Below are 20772 nucleotides of genomic sequence, written 5' to 3'. Positions count from 1 at the left end.
CATTGTCCACACAACAGGAAGGAGGAAGGGCCAAGATAAAAGCCTCACCTCACAACTTCTGCTTAACTATCAATGACAGGAACTTTATCATATTTTCACCCATATCTTCAAGAGAGACTGGGAAAGGTATTTATTTAGTTGGGTACATTGTCGTGCCCCCCTGCCCCCACCCAAATCAGGATTCTATTAGTAAAGAAGAGTGAAGAATTGATATTGGACAAGCAAATATGAGGACCAAGGCCCTTGGCCCCCTAAAGTTTCACTAAAAATCACTGACTGAAGCAGACTGATTAACAGAAGAAAAGGCATAGATATTTATTTAACATGTACACATGGGAGCCTTCCAAATGAAGAACCAACTTCCCAATGAGGTTACAGAAAGAATGGAGGCTTGGATCCTGGTAAAACAGGTTATGGGAGGGAAGAGAAGAGGAATTCTGTGGAGCAGATTACTACGGAGAATGAATGACTCCAGTAACAGAGATTAACTTGTAGATAGTTCTCTTTGGAATCTGAACAGCCCTTGGAGACATCAGGATACTTGGAAAAGGATCTGCTCAGGTGTGCTTACATCTTGGTCTTCTTTCCTGCAATAAACAATGACAACAGGGAGGGAACAAGAATAATTCTTCTCCTTGGTGGGTTTGGGTCTTAGGTGGATAAAGGAACTCCAGATTCCATGGGAGAGACAGTGGGGGTGGGGGAGTCAGAGAGATCCCAGTTTAACAGGTCAAAACACCATCTTTGGGGATGTTGATTTCTGAGCCCCAACACAACTATCTATTTCTGCCACTAAAATGCTTATTAAACAAAAAACAACAGATACCCATTGGAGAGCTCCTTTCTCTGTTAATCCACTCGACTATAATAAAATACCAAAGATGGCTATAATAAACTGCTGAGATGGGATAATTCCCTTGACCCCCATCTCAGGACTTGCAATAGGGGTGTGGCTCATTTACTCAGCCTCCCCGTGCTCAATCCCCGTGCAAGAGGGAGCATGCGAGTGAGCAGGTGCGGGCCCCAGAGTGAACCAACGCTGGAACTGGCCAATCACTCCTCTCTGGTGGGAGCAGGCTCTGTGCAGGCCCTGCATCGGTGTCCAACCAATGCTCTTTGAGCTCTGCCATCCTGGGACAGCCAAGTGCCAACCAGCTCAGTGGAGGATGGCAGCCCTTGCCCTCTCTGCACCCAGGTTCTTGTCCGGCATCCAGGAAGAATCAGGTCTCACAAATGGCTTGAAAGGCAGTGTATGTGGAGGATTTTATTGGGCAATGGAAGTGGCTCTCAGCGGGATAGGGAGTTGGAAAGAGGATGGTGCCCAAAGAAGGTGATGTTTCCCTGAAGCCTGGCTGTTTCCAGCCAGACCCCTCTCCAAAGCTGCACCGGCTGAAGTTAGCCATATCTTTCCATAGTCTCTGATGCTCAGTTGCTTCTCTGCTTGCCATTAAATCACTTGAATCCCTGATGCTTAGCAGCTTGTATCCCGAGCACTCAGCCGCTTGTGTTGCTCTGCCAGCTGAAGTCTTTTTATGGGCACAGGATGGGGCATGGAAGGCCAAAAAGGCGTCATTTGGGTGGAAAAACAGGGTCAGCTGTTTTCACTTAGGGCCACAGTTCCAGGCTCAAGGGTGGGGTTTAGTCGGGAGCCCAGTCCTTCTGTATCAATACCAAAGACTGCCATAATGGAAATGCCAAAACTGCTATAGTAAAATACCAAAGACTGGATGGCTTATAACCAACGTTTATTTCTCACCGTTCTGGAGGCTGGGAAGTCCAAGGTGCTGGCAGGTGCGGTGCTTGGTGAGGGCCAGCTTCCTAGTTCAGACTTGGTTCAGTTTTTTGGTTTGTCCTCATATAATGGAAGAGTTAAGGGATCCACCCTCATGATCTAATCACCTCCCAAAGGCCCCACCTCTTTGAGGGTTAGGATTTCAACACCAGAATTTGGTGGTACATCCAGACCACAGCACCTTCATATCTTTGAAACTCCATCAATATATAGTGGAAGAAACTTCTATGCCATACCACCTAGTTATAGGTTACATAACAGAGCATTTTCTAAAAAGTCAGGATGTAAGTTTTATTTTACTTACATCTTACTGAAAATGAGGCCTTCATCTTAATGAGATATATTTCTTTTCTTAGACATTTTTATTTCATAAGGCCCCTTATAATTTAAAATCATATTTTTTGAATGATATGAGGAAAAAGAAGCATGAATGTTCATGGTGTTTTTGAGGAGAAACGTTCAAGAGGTGCTGTTGGTAAGGTAGGAAACCACACGGCCAGGGCAGGCTTTGAGTGCCAGGCTGAGGGGTTTGGGACTCTTCCTTTACAGAAGATCAAGTGTCCCCCCTTCTCCCACCTCCCAATCCTTCCCTCCAATAAAGTCTCCGGTTTTTGGTTCCAGTTCCTGGTTTCTGTCCCTCACGGTGCCCAGATGTACTCCCTTTTTATGTCTAAGCTAGATTGCAAGGGCTTCCACAACACTTACCAGACAGCTGAGGTCATGAGGCTTAGTGCTAATGAGGAGACAGGAGAAATGAGACAAGATGCATGTACTCAAGGCTGCTGACAACAGGCAGCCAGATGGGAGTTGGCAGCTGAGTCAGAAGTGCACAGGGGTAGGGGGAGAGAGAGGCAGGGAGCAAAGGCTGAGTCTGAGATTTGAGCCACAGTCATGTGTGAGCAAAAGGATGCTGTACAAGGAATGGGGAAGTTGGGGGGAGAAGATGTATTTTGGAGAAAGATGATGAGTTTGGTTTCAAAAGGGAAAGACACTTCTCTTTTACTGAGAGACAGCCCACTCTGGGCTAGTTCTATGTTACACACTCAACAGTGTGGGACAATCAAATAAAGTTGCAGCAAGCGACGGTGATTCGGGATGGTAGCATGAGGGCAGGGGTGGGAGTGGAGGCATGCCAGGGTAGACAGCATGAGTACACTCATGGAGAAAGAGGGCACAGGGGCCTCGGGCTTAGGACCTGACCTCCAGCTCCATCTACATGGCAGGGCCAGAGGGAGGCATAGATTGCCGAGGAAACAAGGAAGAGGCAGCAGCCTCAAAACCAGGAGTGGGCGGGTGGCTCACATCTGTAATCTCAGTGCTTTGGGAGGCTGAGGTGGGAGGATTGCTTGAGCCCAGGAGTTTGAGACCAGCATGAGCAACATAGGGAGACCCACCCCCCCATCTCTACAAAAAATAAAAAACAATTAGCCAAGTGTGGTGGTGCCTGCCTGTAGTCCCACCTTCCCGAGATCTGAGGCAGGAGGATGGCTTGAGCCCAGGAGTTTGAGGCTGCAGTGAGCTGTGACGGCACCACTGCACTCCATCCTGGTTGACAGACGAAAAACAAAACTCAACAACAAAAAACAAAACTAGGTGGGGCACAGCCCAGCAAAGTCTCATTTCTCCTGTCTCCTTCTAAAATACCAAAAACCGGCTGGCTTAGCATAGCATAGCACGAGCATAAAGGATTTCACAAGGGACCCAGCAGAGCTCAAGGCTGCTGAGTGGGGTGGGAAATCCAAACTGAGAAGAACATCAGCCTGGGGAGCTCATACGTTCTGGGAAAAACTGTGCTCCCTCCCACCCACGTTTTGGGGTACTCCACACAGAAGGTTTTTCATTCCTACAGACATCTATTTTTCTTTTTACAAAGTTATAATTGTGTTTTACACATTGCAAACTGCTTTTGTTAAACCGAGCATGATGCGATCTCTACGGAGTCTGAACAGGTCTGGGCTAAGGCAGACACCACAGGAGGCAGGACAACTGCACTCGCCCGAGGCTGCAAAGCACATTGGGGGGTGCCACCTACCCGAGCTGACCAGGGCCACTTCCTGCCCTGGCCCCTCCCTGCCACCAGCACTGTTTCCCATTCATCATCTGTTCCATCTTAAAGAGTGAATACTTCTGGAAAGGAGGGGCGTTACATCAAGATGCACAAAAGCGCAGTCATGAAAACCAGAGACAAGAGCTGAAGATAAGGAAACAGGCCCAATCTCCAGCATTCCCTTCTGTAGCTGCTCCAAAATTTCTCCATGTTCATCAATTCCCAATCCCATTCCCATCTGCCTTACTCTGGCTTTAAAAACAAGCTTTTTCATGAAATATCAAAACTAAAGGGACCCAGGTTTCAGGAAGCTCCCCTAGAGCATTCAATCCAAATGGAAAAGAATTCGTTTCACAAACACAATAGCTCTGCAAGGTGGCTGAGGTCATATTTATTTTACAGATGCATTCAGTTTGTGGTTGGGATAAACAAAAACATAAAATGAAATAAAAATATCTTACAGATGCAAAACTGGGCTTCTACAATTCCATAATATGAATAGCTGATGGATACAGCATATAATGTATAACATATTAATATGCAACACATATATTCATAAAGTACAGTCGTGTACCTCACAATGACATTTCAGCCAAGGATGGACCACATATACAATGGTGGTCCCAAAAGATTATAATGGAACTGAAAAATTCCTATTGCCTAATGACATCATAACCATCATAATGTCATAGAGCAATTATGTTTTGTTTTTATAAATTTGGTGTAACCTAAGTGTATAGTTTTTTTTTGTTGTTGTTGTTGTTTTTGAGATGGAGTCTCGCTCTGTTGCCCAGGCTGGAGTGCAGTGGCACAATCTCGGCTCACTGCAACCTCCTTCTTCCAGGCTCAAGAGATTCTCCTGCCTCAGCCTCCTGAGTAGCTGGAACTACAGGCATGTGCCACCATGCTGAGCTAATTTTTTGTATTTTTGGTAGATACGGGGTTTCACCATGTTGCCGAGGCTAGTCTCGGACTCCTGACCTCAGGTATTCCTCCTGCCTTAGCCTCCCAAAGTGCTGGGATTACAGGCGTGAGCCACCATGCCCGGCCAGTGTATAGTGTTTTTAAAGTCTATAGTAGTGTACAATAATGTCCTAGGCCTTCACATTCACTCACCACTCACTCACTGACTCACCCAGAGCAGCTTCCAGGCCTTCCCTATACAAGCGTACATTTTTGTTAAGTGCCCTATACAGATATACCATTTTATATCCTTTATACTGTAATTTTCCTGTACTTTTTCTACATTTAGATATGTTTAGATACACAAATACTTAACATTATGCTACAACTGCTTACAGTATTCAGTATAGTAACTTGCCATCCAGGTTTGTAGCCCAGGAGCAATGGGCCATACCATAGAGCCTGGGTGTATAGTAGGCTCTACCATCTAGGTTTGTGTAAGCACACTCTATGATGTTCACACAATGATGAAATCACCTAATGATGCATTTCTCAGAATGTGTCCCTGTCATTAAATGACACATAACTGTATATACCATATATTCATTTATATGTAACACAGATATTGAATGGAAAGTCTAGGATTCAGACTAGATCTAAAGATCCTACCTGGACAGGTGCAGTGGCTCATGCCTGTAATCCCAGCACTTTGGAAGGCTGAGGTGGGCAGATCACTTGAGCCCAGGAGTTTGAGACCAGCCTGGGCAACACAGCGAGACCCCGACTCTATAAAACATAATAAAAAATTAGCTGGGCCTGGTTGCCTGTGGTCCCAGCTACTTGGGAGGCTGAGATGGGAGGCTCACTTGAGCCCAGGAGGTCAAGGCTGCAGTGAGCCATGATTTTGCCACTGCACCCCAGCTTGGGTGATGGAGAAAGACCCTGTGCCAAGGGGGAAAAATGATCCTACCCATTGGTTACATTAAAGACAACAATAACTGAGAGGGTTTCACAGAGACTGGAAGCTGAGGCCCACACGCTAGATATGGCCAGAAAATATGTTCTGTATAGTCCCCCAGCTACTTTAAAACTGGGAAAATCAACATTAGGCTCAGAACTTCAATTGCTTCTGAAAGAAGCAGATGCGACTACTCTGGGCTTCCATCCCAGGAGGTGAGAAATTGGCCGGAGCTGTGTGGCAGCTGCTCATCCGTGACCCACCTCCACAACTCCCTACTGCCTGCCGGACCTGGGGGCTAAACTCAGTTGTCATTTGCCATTGTGCTCAAGCTGGCAATGTCCTTACCCTGGCTCTCCTCACTTGTCTTGATGACCTGTCTGCACCCACAGGCCTTTATCAACCCTGGTGAAATGCAACTTCCTTTCCAGGAGCCTTCACTCTTGAACAAATGGAAAATCCTTCCACTGAAGTAACAAAGCCACTAACGAAATGCTAAGGTTCAGACATCAGTGAATCCCCAAGAAAACTAACTTTTTTTCTGGGGTTGCCCTAGTGTTCCTAATCAAATCCATGTAAATAACTGCCTATTCAGCATACTCTAAAATTCAAGCCAAAAACTAGGTATATTTTTGAAAGTAAATGTGTTTGTATTCTCTTTAAGTCATTTAACTTAAGGCAAATGCAAAAGATGATCCTTGGATAGTAAAAACTTCTCCTTCTCCTGCTTACAAGTTTTAGCACCACCCAAAAAGCGGTAACAGTTTTGGGAGAGGTGGTTATTTTGCAAAATGTGCTTTTTGTTTCTTGGCCTATGTGTAGGGCCATTTAGGGAGAAGCCATGTTTGCACAGTAAGTTTTTGTGTGTATGGAAAGTTGTTTTTGCAAGAGACACACGTTCAGTGTTTTCACATTACTGCGTCCCTGTTGACAACAAGATGAAATGCCATTAAAAGGTGAAAGTTACCAACTGCAACTTATATGCTGGGAGCTTCAATGTTGAAGTGGACAAATCTTAAAAAGATCAGTACGAACATTGCACAGTTCAAGTTACTGCTACAGACAGTGTCTTTTTCTTTTGCAAGATTCAAGAAGATTCTACTGAAGCTATTTTCCCGCTTCCCTGGCAGATCTAGGCAAGATCTGGGGAATTATTTTTCCTCTCCATTTCTCCTTTGATCATTAGCTCATGTACAGATACATTAGTTAATTTTAAAACATTAATTAAGCACTAATGGGTCAGGCCTCATCAACACTTTGTCCTGGGCATAGGTAGTGTAAGACACAGGAGGAGAGAAAAAGGAAATGAGTCATGTGAAATGGCTGAAAGGTAACATGCAAATTCCGAGCCACCTCTCAGAAGAGGCCTGAGATGGGCTGCAGCCTGTGGGCAGGCCCGTGCCACGCAGCCTGCACCCTGTACTGGGCTCTAGGCACAGCCTCACCTCAGCTGCTTCCTTCCTCCCTCACCGCACCCTTCTTCCTGTCTCCTCTACCTCCAGCCCCTTTGGGTGCAGTGGAAAAACTTGGGACACTGAGTTCCAGTCTCTGCTGGCTCTCAGCCATGACGTAACCTTGACCAGGCCACTCTGCTGGCCTGGATGGTGGTTTCTTTTTATGTGAAAGAAGGCACTTAACTGTAGATGCTTTAAGGTCCTTCCTGTGTCTGAGTCCTCAATCGTAGGCTTATGGTGCTGGTAGATTTTTCAGCTCTGATGTTGAATTTAGTCCATGGCACTCTCCAAAAGGAGCTGGCATATTAAAAAATTAATATCGAAAGCTTTCTACAATTTTGTTTAGTTTCTGTAAAACTCCTAGAACTCCTTTTATACTTTTTTTGAGACAGGGTCTTGCTCTGTTGCCCAGGATGGAGTGCCGTGGCATGATCATGGCTTATTGCAGCTTCGACCTCCTAGGCTCAAGCAATCCTCCCACCTCAATCTCCCAAGTAGCTGAGACCACAGGCTCATGCCACCATGCCTGGCTAATTTTTTAATTTTTTTGGAGGGGCGGGGTCTCACTATGTTGCCCAGGCTGATCTTGAACCCCTGGGCTCAAGCAATCTGCCTCCCTAGGCCTCCCAAAGGGCTGGGATTACAGATGTCAGCCACCATGCCCTGCCTTCCTTTCTACCTTTGCAGTGGTTGGAGGGTGGCCAAGATCTTAATTAAGAGCACAGACTTCAGCACATTTCCTGGGCTGACTCCCAGCTCAGCTACTTCCTAGTTGTGTGAACTTAGGTAAGTTATTTAATTTCTCTTGCCTCATTTTCCTCACCTGTAAAACAGGCAAAATGAGAGTCCCAACTTCTCAGGGCTGTAGGGAAGATTAAATTAATTAATATGTATTAATATTCTTAGTGTGATGCCTGGTAGAGTATACATGCTTTGGGAATACTAGCTGCTTTTACTATTATTTCAGTCTTATCTATAATTATAGAAAAATAGCAGAGGTGTCGAGAGTAGTTAGGAATACTAAGCTGGCCAAGACAAAGGGATGCTCAGTGGGATGCAGCCAGTTATGGGAAAGACCATGATTTTTGATTTATCCATCAGACCCCTTTTTCTTTTCTTTTCTTTTCTTTTTTTTTTTTTTTTTAGGCAAAGTCTTGCTCTGTCATCCAGGCTGGAGTTGGAATGCAGTGGCACAATCACAGCTCACTGCAGCCTCTACCTCGTGGGCTCACGCAATCCTCCACCTCAGCCTCCCAAGTAGCTGGAACCACAGGCATGTGCCACCATGTCCAGCTAATATATATATATATATTTATAAAGTTGGGGGTCTCCCTATATGGCCCAAACTGGTCTGGAACTCCTGGGCTCAAGTGATCCTCCTGCCTCAGGTTCCCAAAGTGCTGGGCTTACAGGCACGAGCCACTGTGCCCAGCCCCCATGTTTCTTAAAAACAAAACCAGAAAGCCTTAGTCCTCCCTGCAAATGCATAGCCCAAGCCCATCCCCACACATTCAACCTTCACAAATGGCCATGTGGCCTTCAGCCAATACTGTTCCACTGAAATGACTCTCAGGAAAGTGACCAGTGGCCGAGTTGGTAAACTCCATGGCTTCTACTCAGCCATCCTCTCTCTCCATCTTGCTGGTGTCCTCTGATTCTCTCAAGTTCTGGTGCTCATTGCCCACTCCTGCCAAAGGGCAGCATCCACATGTCTCCCACCAACACAGATTCGGCAGAGCCAGCACTGAAGCAGCCTTCCTCCCAAGCACCTTCGCCTCAGTCCCTGCTTTGCCTTGGAATCTACCATCAGCCCCACCTGTGCTCCCAACCTCAGTGCCTCCGGTGCCCTCCTCCTCTCACCATCCTCTCAGCAGCCCCAAGTCAGGGCTGATTCGCTCTTGCTTGGAGGACCCACCCTTCCTCCCCTGCCCACTGTTCGTGCTGTCACCAGGAAGATCTCCTGACCCAGCTCTGACCAAGTCACGCTCACAAATGCCCTCTGGCAGCACTGCATCCATTAAAGGCAGTCCACACTTTCTATGCTTGCGCTTGTGCTTCCCACCTCCTCCATCAAAAAAAACAAGACAAACTGAGACCAATCCCAGCCTTTCTGCCATTTCTTTTCTTTTCTTTTCTTTTCTTTTTTTTTTTTTTTTTTTGAGACGGAGTCTCACTCTGTCGCCCAGGCTGGAGTGCAGTGGCGCGATCTCGGCTCACTGCAAGCTCCGCCTCCCGGGTTCACGCCATTCTCCTGCCTCAGCCTCCCGAGTAGCTGGGACTACAGGCACCTGACCACGCCCGGCTAATTTTTTTGTATTTTTAGTAGAGACGGGGTTTCACCGTGTTAGCCAGGATGGTCTTGATCTCCTGTCCTCGTGATCCGCCCGCCTTGGCCTCCCAAAGTGCTGGGATTACAGGCGTGAGCCACCGTGCCCGGCTGCCTTTCTGTTTTTATTAGAAAAATCTGCATATAAACTTCATTTCTTGCGTATCTACCTGCCCTTACCGTTCACCCCAGACACAATGAAGAGCCGTGTTCAGCTGTGGACACCACACAGTGCCTGGTGCCCAGCACAAGGAAAGCACTCAGAAAATATTTAACAGGAAAGGAATATGATGTATAATCAAATAGTGACTGTGGCAAGTACTAAAATCTATGAGGAAAAAGCTCCCCAAATATTTGTTCTTCTCTGCAGAGGCCAAGGTGATGGCTTTTCCTTTAGTGCTTGGAAGATGAAGAAATTGGCATATGTACTTTCATTGCAAGATTGAAGCTTTCATTTGAAATGAGAAATTATTTCAGGTTGCTGGACAGAAGATACTTTCATAATTATGAAAACATTTGAGAGATACTCGAGTGGAATGTCCTTTTATACGAGGGCGATGAAACAGTAACACATGAAGACCACTAGATGATGGGGGGAGCTAATGTTGTTTTTTTACTGTTATCAGATTTTTCTAATAAAAACCCAATTCTCATTTAAGGACAGTTCTTTTGGGTACTTTCCCAATACAATTCCAATTTATTTTCCCATTAGCTGGGGGGCAGCTTTTATATATTTTTTCATTACAAGCCCATGATGGCAAATTCACATCTTGCTGGAAGCTTCAGAGTCCAACTCTTTAATACTTCTGAATATCACCTTCTCTGTTATTGCTGAATGGCAACATAAATGTGGCTAGTGAGATAGGATTCAGGTTAGAAAATTAGAAAAATGATTAAAAAATAGTATCACACAGGTGGTACCAGCGAATACTGAAATTAAAGAGGATTTATCTGTGTGATTTTGGTCATTTGGTAGTATTTTGGCTTTTGGTAAAATAAATGGAACAGAAAAATTAGAATCGTGATTATTAGAAGCAAATCACTTTTGTCCTCTACATGATGGTTTTAGAATCTGTATGGAAAAGTCAGTCACACATTTATCCTTACTGGATCTGTGGCTGCCTTAATGAGATCTGGAAATTTGTTTCTTCTGCACCTTCCATCCATGCCCAGTTCTCTTAAATGAAAACAAGTATAATTACCTACTACTTTCTTCAACTCAGAGTGACAGGAGAAGGAATAAAGGAGCCCATAACATAAACCATGGATAATCTGAAAAGCATGTGTATGTCTTTTATTCCAGAATGTTTGATTGTTTGCATTTGAATTCACATATGTGATATTGTTAAGTCCTCACAGTCCTTCACAAAAATTGAGTCCTGTTTTGAGGACTTGACACTCCTCCTCAACTCCCTGGCCCCTCTGCTCTGTCCTATCCACAGTGTTTTATGATGGTAAGTCCAGACGAGCAGGAATCCAAGCAGGAAGGTCCTGCAGCCTCATGGCTGAATTCCAGTCCATCCGTCCTTCCCACCAGTAATGGACTCTCCCACTGTCCCACAGAAACTGCCTCCCTGGTGCCTCAGCCCCTCAGTTGGCTTCTCCGTCTCTGCCACTTCTGCTCTTTCACTGACTCACGCATTCTCCCTCTACTTTCCTCTCTGCCTTTTGGCTTCCTCTTGGTTTACTCTCAGCTTCTGCCTGCTCCATCCTCTGCGTTTCTGTTTCTACCTTGGCACTGAATGAGACTGCATGCCTCTGTGTAAAAGGCCTTCCAAGAAGACATTTGAACAGTTCTTTTGGTCTCAGTCCCTGAAATCATCCCTGTGGGGCAGGGCCCAAGTGCTAGGGCCCTGTGTTCCAGCTAGCCCTCTTTGTGCTAGCATCACATTTGTGTGAATCAAACTTCTGATTGCCTGTTTGTGCATAATTCAGTTAATATTAGGAAAATGATGCTCAATAAATGTGCTTGTCTTGTGTGCAAAAGCTTCAGCTAATATGGAGTCATGAAGAAAACCAACAGGACAAAGGTTCTCAGTGATACAGCAACTGTTCAACTGGTGGAGGAAGTCAACGCTGAGGAAAGCCTACGGGCTGGCTGGAAGATGGCCCAAGGCTATGAGCCATCCTAGGGGCCCAGAGGAGAAGGAATGGGAGTGCTACTGGCTCAAGACTTGAGTTCCTCTAGAGTGAGGGCTCTCGGTCGTAACTCAACTGTGTGTTCAGGTTTCCTGCACCTCTCTTAACCTTGTTCTCTTGCTCCCTCACCTGGGAAGGACCTGCTGACATCCCCCTCATCTCCAGGATAAGATACGAATGTTGCTCTTCCAACCCATTCCATACAGAACCAGAGGCAACTCATTTTCATAACATGTACCTTGAATAAGCATTTGTTAAGTACACAAAACAAATTGCTGGCAAAAAGTTTTTAAGGAATTTTTTAGGCCGGGCACAGTAGCTCATGCCTGCAATTTCAGCACTTTGGGAGGCTGAGGCGGATGGGTTGCTTGCACTCAGGAATTTGAGACCAGCTTGGGCAACATGGTGAAACCTTGTCACTACTAAAATGTAAAATAAAAATTAGCCAGGTATGGTGGCAAACATCTGTAGTCTCAGCTCCTTGGCGGGGCAGGAAGATCGCTTGAGCCCGAGAAGTTGAGGTTGCACTGAGCCCCGATTGTGCCACTACACTCCAGCCTGGGTGACTGAGCAAGACCCTGTCTCAAAAAAAGAAAAAGAAAAAGAAAAAGAATTTGTTAAAATTATGTTTACAGTGTTACAGTGCACTTTGCGGAAATTATCTTGGAATATGTTATTGATGCTTCCATGAATGAATATTTTATTTTTGGAAGGCATTGTTGATTTCTTATGCTGTCTCTCTCTTCCCAGACAGATGCTTCCCTTATGTAGATGCCGACTTGAACAAGTCTATTGAATGGAGGCTTCAGAATTCCAGAAGATTCTTTTCTGTAAAGAGACACCTTAGTTTTTACTACAGTTCATTTCTGAAGCAATATGGCATTTTCAATTGCCTCTGAGACACTAATATTAGTACATTTGGTCATGTACTGAAGACAGCTCTCTTTCCCTGCTCTCCTTTATCCTGTCTTAAGCCTTGTGAATTTAATCCTATACCAATGTACAGTTTCAGATAGGAAGCAAAACCAAGGCAATGAGCAAATATTTACTAAGGGTCTGTAGTAGAGGTATGTAGACTGGACATATTGTTGCAGCTCAGTAATTTTTTTTTTGAGGTGGAGTCTCTCTCTGTCACCCAGGTTGGAGTAAAAGGGCACAATCTTAGCTCACTGCAACCTCTGCCTCTTGGGTTCAAGTGATTCTCCTGCCTAAGCCTCCTGAGCAGCTGGGATTACAGGCACCTGCCATCATGCCCAGCTAATTTTTATATTTTTGTAGAGACAGGGTTTCACCATGTTGGCCAGGTTGGTCTTGAACTCCTGACCTCAGGTGATTCACCTGCCTCGGCCTCCCAAACTGCTGGGATTACAGGTGTAAGCCACCATGCCTGGCCCATCAATAAGTATTTTTTTTGATGATCACAAGATCCATTTTTTTTTCACTCAGGTGAAAATATTACACAGCAACTCCCTAGTTGGTGTCAGTGACATCAGACTTCCTCTGCTCAATTTGTCCTTTTTTCAGACTCATCTTGAAATATTTTTGTTATAATGTTGCTTCTCTCTTCGGAAATTTTCAGTGCTTTCTTCTTACCCAAGCCTGAGGTGCGAACCCTCCTGCACAGCTTCCATGGCATGACACATTTCCCATGATGCCTCTGTTCACACCGTCCATCTTGGCCAGCCTATCCTGCCCAGGTGCCAGGAACACTGAGTGTGTACCACCCTCTTTGTGACCTTGCAGGTGTGCTCCTTCTCTTATCATGTGTATTTCCTTTTTCTCTGCACAGGTCCAAATCCGACATCTGTTCTTCAAGGTTCAGATCAAGTCTGTTCTCTCCCACAAAGTCCTCCTCCATTCTGTCAATGAACAGGTGCCTGGGACATATTGATGACTAAGACAGTCTCTGCCCTCAAGAGCTGGGTGAATGAGGCAAATACATTAGCAGATGATAGTGGTGCTGCCAAGCCTTTTTCACTTAATAAAACACAGAGAAAATGAAAATATTTATCATGGCACCTTGGGCTGCTTGTAGCTGGCTCCAGGTCCCACCCAGCACCCAGACACTCCAAAGGCTGAGAAACTCTCAGGCTTGCCTTCCTCTAACCTACGTGTGGCAAACCAGCTTGGAAACTCAGAGTGAGGCTACATGCTCTGATAGGAGTAGGGACAGATTGCAGCCGGTGTCTTTCCCAGGCATGTGGGTAAGGGGAGGCTTCCTAGGCAGGTGGCTTCCAGCTGAGTCTTGAAGGATGCTAGTTAGCCAAGGAGGCAGTGGGATGGACATGGGAGTGAGTCTGCCAGAGGCAGCTGTGTGTGTCACAGCATAGAAGGGGGAATGGCTCAGCTTGAGGGCCAGAGGTTAGAGGCGAGCAGGCATGAGAAGAGGCGGGTCTTGGGTTTTCCTCCAACCAGACTGTAAACTCCTTGAAGGCCAAGACCACATTTTACACTTCTGTCTTTCAGACAGCTGATCACGTGATGAGAGCTCAACACAGAGGCACTGATAGAGTAGTCTCTCTTTACCAGTGATACTGTCCTGATGGCTGCCATGAGACACGTGAATGGTCTCTTTTAAGAACAATGTAAATAAGAGAGGTGTTTTCTAGAATCCGTATAAATCCCACTTGACCTGAAAGATCTGAGAGGCTTATAGTTCTCCATTCCCTCATGTTTCCAGGACCAGCTTCTGGTTTGGCTTGAAATGATGCCTAATATGCTTTTTGTTTTTTTGAGATGGAGTTTCGCTCTTGTTGCCAGGCTGGGGTGCAATGGTGCAATCTTGGCTCACTGCAACCTCCGCCTCCTGGGTTCAAACGATTCTCTTGACTCAGCCTCCTGAGTAGCTGGGATTACACGCGCGTGCCACCATGCCCAGTTAATTATGTACTTTTAGTAGAGGTGGGGTTTCACCATGTTGGCCAGGCTGTTCTTGAACTCCTGACCTCAACTGACCTGCCTGCCTTGGTCTCCCAAAGTGCTGGGATTACACGCATGGGCCACCATGCCTGGCCCCCTCCACCTTTTTTTCTTGACTGGACTCTGGCTTTCACAAACACCTACTTGTAGGGATATGGTCAGTTGCCCTAAAAGAGGATAAAGAAACATCCGAGGCCATGACAAGGTAGCATAGACTCTGTTTTCCAGATACCCATAACTCCAACAATTGGCAGTCAGGGTACTGGATGTTTGATGTGAACAAAGATTTTTATTCTCTTTGAAAGGTACTGATAGAGTAGCACAGTTGAATTGCTTGAATTGGTTTTATGCATGGGCAGATTTCAGATACAGGGCTGTTCATCCAGTAACTTTTACAAGTACCAAATTTATAAAAGAAGAAAAAGAAAAGAAAAAAATCTCCAAAGCTCTGTAATTGTCTGGCACACAATTCTCTTCCACTGTGTCTTCTGAGTATACATTGAATATAATGAAAATAAGTGAGTCAGCTTGAACGATGCGGCTACATCCCTTACAAGGGAGGGGTGATCCCTTCAAGCTTTCTAAACCATCTTGACAGAGACTTTTGCTGCCACTCAGCATTGTTGTTTGTTCTAACAATGCATGCAGGGTAGCCTGTCCCCCACTAAGACAGGTTGGATTCTCTAGAGTTTTCTGTAAAAATTTTAGGAATGCCTTGTGTACATTATGTAAATACCAACAGCCACAACACTTAAGCATGGTAAACACTTACAATTTCATAATTGTGTAGCCACACAACCTGACATTTGTATGAGTCACTTGATAGATAACATCTTCCCCAGTGGTATGAAAGTGAAATAGAAAAGGCATCTTTCAAGGGTTCTCTCTTTGGGCAAAGGTGTGGGGGGAAGAATAAAAATTTAAAAATAAGAATAATTTTGCTGGGCACAGTGGCTCACACCTGTAATCTCAGCACTTTGGGAGGCCAAGGTGGGCATATCACCTGAACTCAGGAGTTCAAGACCAGCCTGGGCAACATGACAAAACCCTGTCTTTACAAAAAATACAAAAGTTAGCCAAGCATGGTGGTGTGTGCCTGTAGTCCCAGCTACTTGGGAGGCTGAGGCAAGAGAATCACTGAGCCTGGGACATGGAGCTTGCAGTGAGCTGAAATCACACCACTGCACTCCAGCCTGGGTGATGGGTGTGAAACCCTGTCTCAAAAAATAAAAATAAAAAAATAATAATTCAGTTCTGTTAGAAATCTAAGGTCTTTCATCTGGATGAAACTTAACATCCACCTAGAGTTGAATATACACAGTGGTTGGTTCTGTTTGAATTTTCTCTCCTTAATTTCTTGGGCCTCCCGTGCCCTGTCTGATTATACAACAGAAATAGTTTGTATGCTGTGTCTGAAACACTCTGCATCTAACAAAGAGTTAATAGACTCTACACTGTTCACCTTGGTCCCAGTTTATCTAGTTTCTGGATGAAAGTGATTGAGTGCACTGTTGATCAATTACAATGGAGAGGTCTCCTACCGTTTGTGCATATACATTTAAAAAAGCCAGGGAGGTCCGAGCGCGGTGGCTCACACCCATAATCCCAGCACTTTGGGAGGCCGAGGTGGGCAGATCACCTGAGGTCGGGAGTTTGAAACCAGCCTGACCAACATGGAGAAACCCCATCTCTACTAAAAATACAAAATTAGCTGGACATGGTGGCACATGCCTGCAATCCCAACTATTTGGGAGGCTGAGGCAGGAGAATCACTTGAACCCGGGAGGCAGAGGTTGCGGTGAGCCAAGACTGCGCCATTGCACTCCAGCCTGGGCAACAGGAGCAAAACTCCATCTCAAAATAAAATAAAATAAGATAAAATAAAATAAAATAAAATAAAATAAAATAAAATAAAATAAAAATAAAATAAAAAGCCAGGGAGAACCTCCTGATGTGATTCCTCTAGCAGGCTTTACACTGGGTCGGGGAAAGAATCTCACTAGAGCTAGTAGCCAAGAAGCCAGAAAACACAATCTTTATAAATATTCATAAATAATGCAAGCTTGATTGTTAATGCATGGAGGGGGCTGGGGTAGAAAAGAAAACTAGAGATTATGTGCTTGAATTCTTAGAAGCTGACTGCTATAGGCATGGCCCCACCAACAGCCATTTACCATCAAAGAGATAAAAGGAAAAGATTCACTCCCTGTGTGTACTCTGCTTTTAGCTCAGATATCACTTCCAGGAAGGCTTCCTTGCCCCCAGATGGCTTAATCCTATCGGCTGTCCCAGAACTGTGCGTTTGTAGCATTGTACTATGGTTTAATTACTTACCCATTTCTTCTACTGTGAGCACTTTGTGGTTAGATAACAGCTGCCTCTGTAATCATAGGCACTCAGAAAAAGTTTGTGGAACAGCAAAAATGTGTGTGGAAAGGAAAACAGCCTCAACATAGAAGCTTTGTTGGGGACAGACTACAAAATAAATGGTAAAGTTCTGGCAGAACCTCTTGGGTACAATTCCACTGAGAAATAAAGGCAGAAACAGAAACTGTAGAAGTAGAGAATAAATAAAAAGGAAGTGATAGAGGAGGAGAATCATCATCAACAATATTAAAAAGAGAAAAAGATATGGAATGGGATTCAGTGGGGTTTGGATGGATTGTCTTTGATTATTAACAGATACTATGGACTTAGTTGGAAAATCCAGGATCATAAACTCTGCTAAGTTAACATGAATCATCAACCAATTATACCCTATACCTTGGAATAATATATTCTATGGCATTCCAGTTTCTTGGGACAACTCACTGAAATCCAGACTTTCCTGAGCTACAATGTATATGGTTTGAGATAAGTGTAACCCTATTTTCCAAAACCTGCCCTTCTGCTGCCAGTTGAAGCAGCAACGAAGTATCAAAAAAGCCTCCAAGTGAAAGCAGTTGTGTTTTTCCTGTACACTTTTTGTCTTCTGCTGTGCTTCCTCCACTACCCAGAGTGCAGGGGAAATTCCGCTTTTTATCTGAATAAGCCGGTGGAGTCTATAACTGAAGTTTGTCCTTCCCCCTATTCCTTTCTCCTCTGACATATGCCTCTGCTTATAGAATGTCTGTAAATGCTTTCATTTCCTTCCTTCACTAAGAGAAAAAACTGGAGAAGGTGAAGAGAAACATCTTTTTTTTTTTTTTGATGGAGTTTCACTCTTGTTGCCCAGGCTGGAGTGCAATGGCGCGATCTTGGCTCACTGTGACCTCTGCCTCCTGAGTTCAAGCGATTCTCCTGCCTCAGCCTCCCAAGTAGCTGGGATTATAGGCACGCACAACCATGCCCAGCTAATTTTTGTATTTTTAATAGAGACAGGGTTTCACACTGTTGGTCAGACTGGTCTTGAACTCCTGAACCTCAGGTGATCTGCCCGCCTCAGCCTCCCAAAGTGCTGGGATTACAGGAGTGAGCCACCACACCTGGCTTTTTTTTTTCTTTCTTTTGAGAGAGAGAGAGAGAGAGAGAGAGAGAGAGAGAGAGAGAGAGAGACAGGGTCTCACTCTGTCACCCAGGCTGTAGTGCAGTGGCATGATCATATTTCATTGCAGCCTGGAACTCCTGGGCTCAAATGATCCTCATGCCTCAGCCTTCCCAGTAGCTGGGACTACTGATGCATGCACACCAGGCTAATTTTTAATTTTTATTTTTTTAAAGACATGGGTCTCTCTCTGTTTCCCCGGCCGGTCTCGAACTCCTGGGCTCAAGCAATCCTCCTACCTCTGCCTCCCAAAGTGCTGGGATTATGGGCATGAGCCACTGTGCCCAGCTGGGAAATATATGTAAAAATATTCATCCACTCAACAAAATTTTGTAACTTGCTGAAGATGTGAGCAGAGAGATAGTCTGGAGGGGTGATGTAGGGGCTCTGGAATCAAACAGACCTGGATTTGAACTCTGATTCAAACATTTACTAATTGCCTAAATTACTGTTTGTATCTGTCAAATGTCTTAATTTCTCAGGGCCTCAGTTTCTTCGTGAATAAAATAGGGATAATAGCTCCTGTTCCATTTGGTCTTTTGGGTAATTCATGAAAATGGCTTGGGGGCATTCTCCATGATGTTATCAAATGGCAGGACTTTCTTCCTCTGCAAGAAGTAGTTTGCTTGTCTGTCATTAAGAGCACTGTAATAGCAAAGCCTAGAATCATCTATTCCTAGGAGATATTTTAGGCAGGATATATCCAACAATGTATTAAAAGCTTTACCTTGGAATGGTCTCAGTCTTTACCTCTGTTTACATCTGGTCATGAATCAAATTGCCAGCTTGCTACTTGGCAATGGCTTTGTCATAGAATACAGGAAACCTGGCTTTCAGGTCCCCAATGTATTCGTCCGTTTTCATGCTGCTGATAAAGACATACCCAAGACTGGGCAACGGACAAAAGAGGTTCAATGGAGTTACAGTTCCACATGGCAGGGGAGGCCTCACAATCATGGTGGAAGGCAAGGAGGAGCAAGTCACTTCTTACATGGATGGTGGCAGGCAAAGAGAGTTTGTGCAGCAAAACTCCCTTTTTTAAAACCATCAGATTTCGTGAGACTTATTCACTATCACGAGAACAGCATGGGAAAGACCCTCCCCCATGATTCAATTACCTCCCACCAGGTTCCTCCCACCACACAGGAATTGTGGGATTTACAATTCAAGATGATATTTGGGTGGGGACACAGCCAAACCGGAAGTAGAGAGAAAACACACTCAAAGTAGAGGGAAGAGCTGTCATTGGATATCATGGCTGTGATCCCCCAAGTTGTGTCCACAGTGCTGGGCAGTGGACAGATCTTTTGGTATGGTTCCCCTAAACTAGTAAGAGACTATGGGAGCAGGGATGTTACGTGTCTCTTCCTGAAGTTTTAAATTAGCCGTCATGGAGAAACCTCAACATGGGAAGGCTGATAACTCCATGCATGTTCTAGCTGATTATTAATTATTCTTATCTTGAGATAAAAATAATGGAATTTATCGGAGGTGGGGAGGGGACCCTGTTCTGATTGATGCCTCTTAAGAGTTTTCGATTATTGAAATTACTGTTTTCTGAAAAGAATCTACTTATTACTTTGGGAGTTTGGCAGGAACAAGGCTGCCTCCTTGATCTTTGGCCCCTCAATTCCCTTACAGGTTACTCGGTAGGATTGCTGTAAGGATTATTGCGGCAATAAAGTTAACACATCCCTTGTTTTTGAACCATTACCAGCTGTGTGACCTTGGGCAAGCCCTTTCACCTCTCAGCTAGTTTCCTCTTATGAAAAATGGGGAATAAATTTAAAACATGAGATATGCAATAAACGATCTAACACCCATGCCTGCTATACGGTTGCCTGCTATACAGTTAAGTATTCAAAAGAGGACGTACCCAGGGGTAGTTACTGTTAGCACAAGTCCTATGGATACTATGAAAAACAGGGACAGACCACCCAGGCTTTCTACAAACGAGTCAGTTTTTTGCCTTTGAAGTTAACCTCTAACCTTGTGAAACGGCGACAGATAAGGACATGGGGTTCAAGAAAACGGGGCATAGTGGAAAATCAGGGGCATTAGCACCCAACGATGTGCGTTGAAACCCTAGTTGTTTTTCTCCTTCCCAGTTGCTGAAATCAGCCCTTCTGGCCGATTCGCGGGGTTCTCACCGGGAAGTTGGGGCTGTCGCGACCGTCCGCGGGGCCTCGGGAGCTCCTGTGGGGCTGGGCCCGGGACCTGTCCCCGGGGAGGCCGCCCAGTTTGGGCGGCCCGGAGCGGGGCGCGCCGCTGGGAAGGGGCCGGGTCGAGGCAGGCAGGCGCCTGGGAGCTGGGGCAGCCCCGGGTGGTCGGGTCGCGCGCCGAGGCGCAGGCCGAGGGCTCGCCCGGGCCTTTGTTGGCCGCCGGAGCGGTCCCTGCACGCGCCGGGAGGATCTCAGCCAGATGTGGCAGCGGGGCGGCGGGGAGCAGGCCGGCGCCCAGAGCTGGGACCCGAGACCGCGGCTCCGCTCCGGACCTCGCCGTGACACCGATGAGCCGGGCCAGCCTCCCGAACGCTCCGCAGGCTGCGTGGCGGCGCCCCTAAGTGACAGTCGCGCGGGCCACTGGTGGGGCGCGGGGCGCGGGGCGCGGGGCCCGCGGGGCCGGCCAATGGCTGGCGGGGTCGGGGCGGCCCGGCGGGGCGGGGCGGGGCGGGCGCTCCAGCGGCGGGGGCGGAGCCGGCGGGGCGGGCG

The 20772-nt window shown here is 45.8% G+C and overlaps 1 long non-coding RNA gene across 2 annotated transcripts, besides 5 other annotated features; it reads right to left on the bottom strand.

Annotated features, from left to right (window-relative positions):
- Window positions 1-290: 290 nt before the first annotated feature.
- On the bottom strand, window positions 291-20626 carry LOC107985922 (uncharacterized). 2 transcript variants are annotated; one of them, XR_007087150.1, is made up of 2 exons: window positions 20212-20626; window positions 291-587 (listed from the first exon to the last, which is right to left on the bottom strand). It is a non-coding gene; the product is annotated as an uncharacterized LOC107985922 (long non-coding RNA). The 2 variants fall into 2 exon arrangements; XR_001739605.2 differs by lacking the exon at window positions 20212-20626 and adding an exon at window positions 1757-2547.
- Window positions 3339-3839: an enhancer, noted in NCBI's record as "H3K4me1 hESC enhancer chr2:99364531-99365031 (GRCh37/hg19 assembly coordinates)". NCBI's record gives its function as "activates a minimal SCP1, AML or CMV promoter by ChIP-STARR-seq in naive H9 embryonic stem cells {active_cell/tissue: H9 hESC(naive)}" and the evidence as "EXISTENCE:reporter gene assay evidence [ECO:0000049][PMID:30033119]".
- Window positions 3840-4340: an enhancer, noted in NCBI's record as "H3K4me1 hESC enhancer chr2:99364030-99364530 (GRCh37/hg19 assembly coordinates)". NCBI's record gives its function as "activates a minimal SCP1, AML or CMV promoter by ChIP-STARR-seq in naive H9 embryonic stem cells {active_cell/tissue: H9 hESC(naive)}" and the evidence as "EXISTENCE:reporter gene assay evidence [ECO:0000049][PMID:30033119]".
- Window positions 19827-20121: a silencer, noted in NCBI's record as "tiled region #13812; HepG2 Repressive non-DNase unmatched - State 1:Tss". NCBI's record gives its function as "represses a minimal TATA promoter and a strong SV40 promoter by Sharpr-MPRA in HepG2 cells {active_cell/tissue: HepG2}" and the evidence as "EXISTENCE:reporter gene assay evidence [ECO:0000049][PMID:27701403]".
- Window positions 20228-20417: a silencer, noted in NCBI's record as "silent region_11804". NCBI's record gives its function as "represses an Ori minimal core promoter by ATAC-STARR-seq in GM12878 lymphoblastoid cells {active_cell/tissue: GM12878}" and the evidence as "EXISTENCE:reporter gene assay evidence [ECO:0000049][PMID:35858748]".
- Window positions 20438-20767: a silencer, noted in NCBI's record as "silent region_11803". NCBI's record gives its function as "represses an Ori minimal core promoter by ATAC-STARR-seq in GM12878 lymphoblastoid cells {active_cell/tissue: GM12878}" and the evidence as "EXISTENCE:reporter gene assay evidence [ECO:0000049][PMID:35858748]".

This window comes from Homo sapiens, chromosome 2 (genome assembly GCF_000001405.40).
Source record: "Homo sapiens chromosome 2, GRCh38.p14 Primary Assembly".
Lineage (NCBI taxonomy): Eukaryota > Metazoa > Chordata > Mammalia > Primates > Hominidae > Homo > Homo sapiens.
The sequence above is the reverse complement of the archived record's forward strand: the minus strand, read 5'-3'. Positions and strand labels throughout refer to the sequence as shown.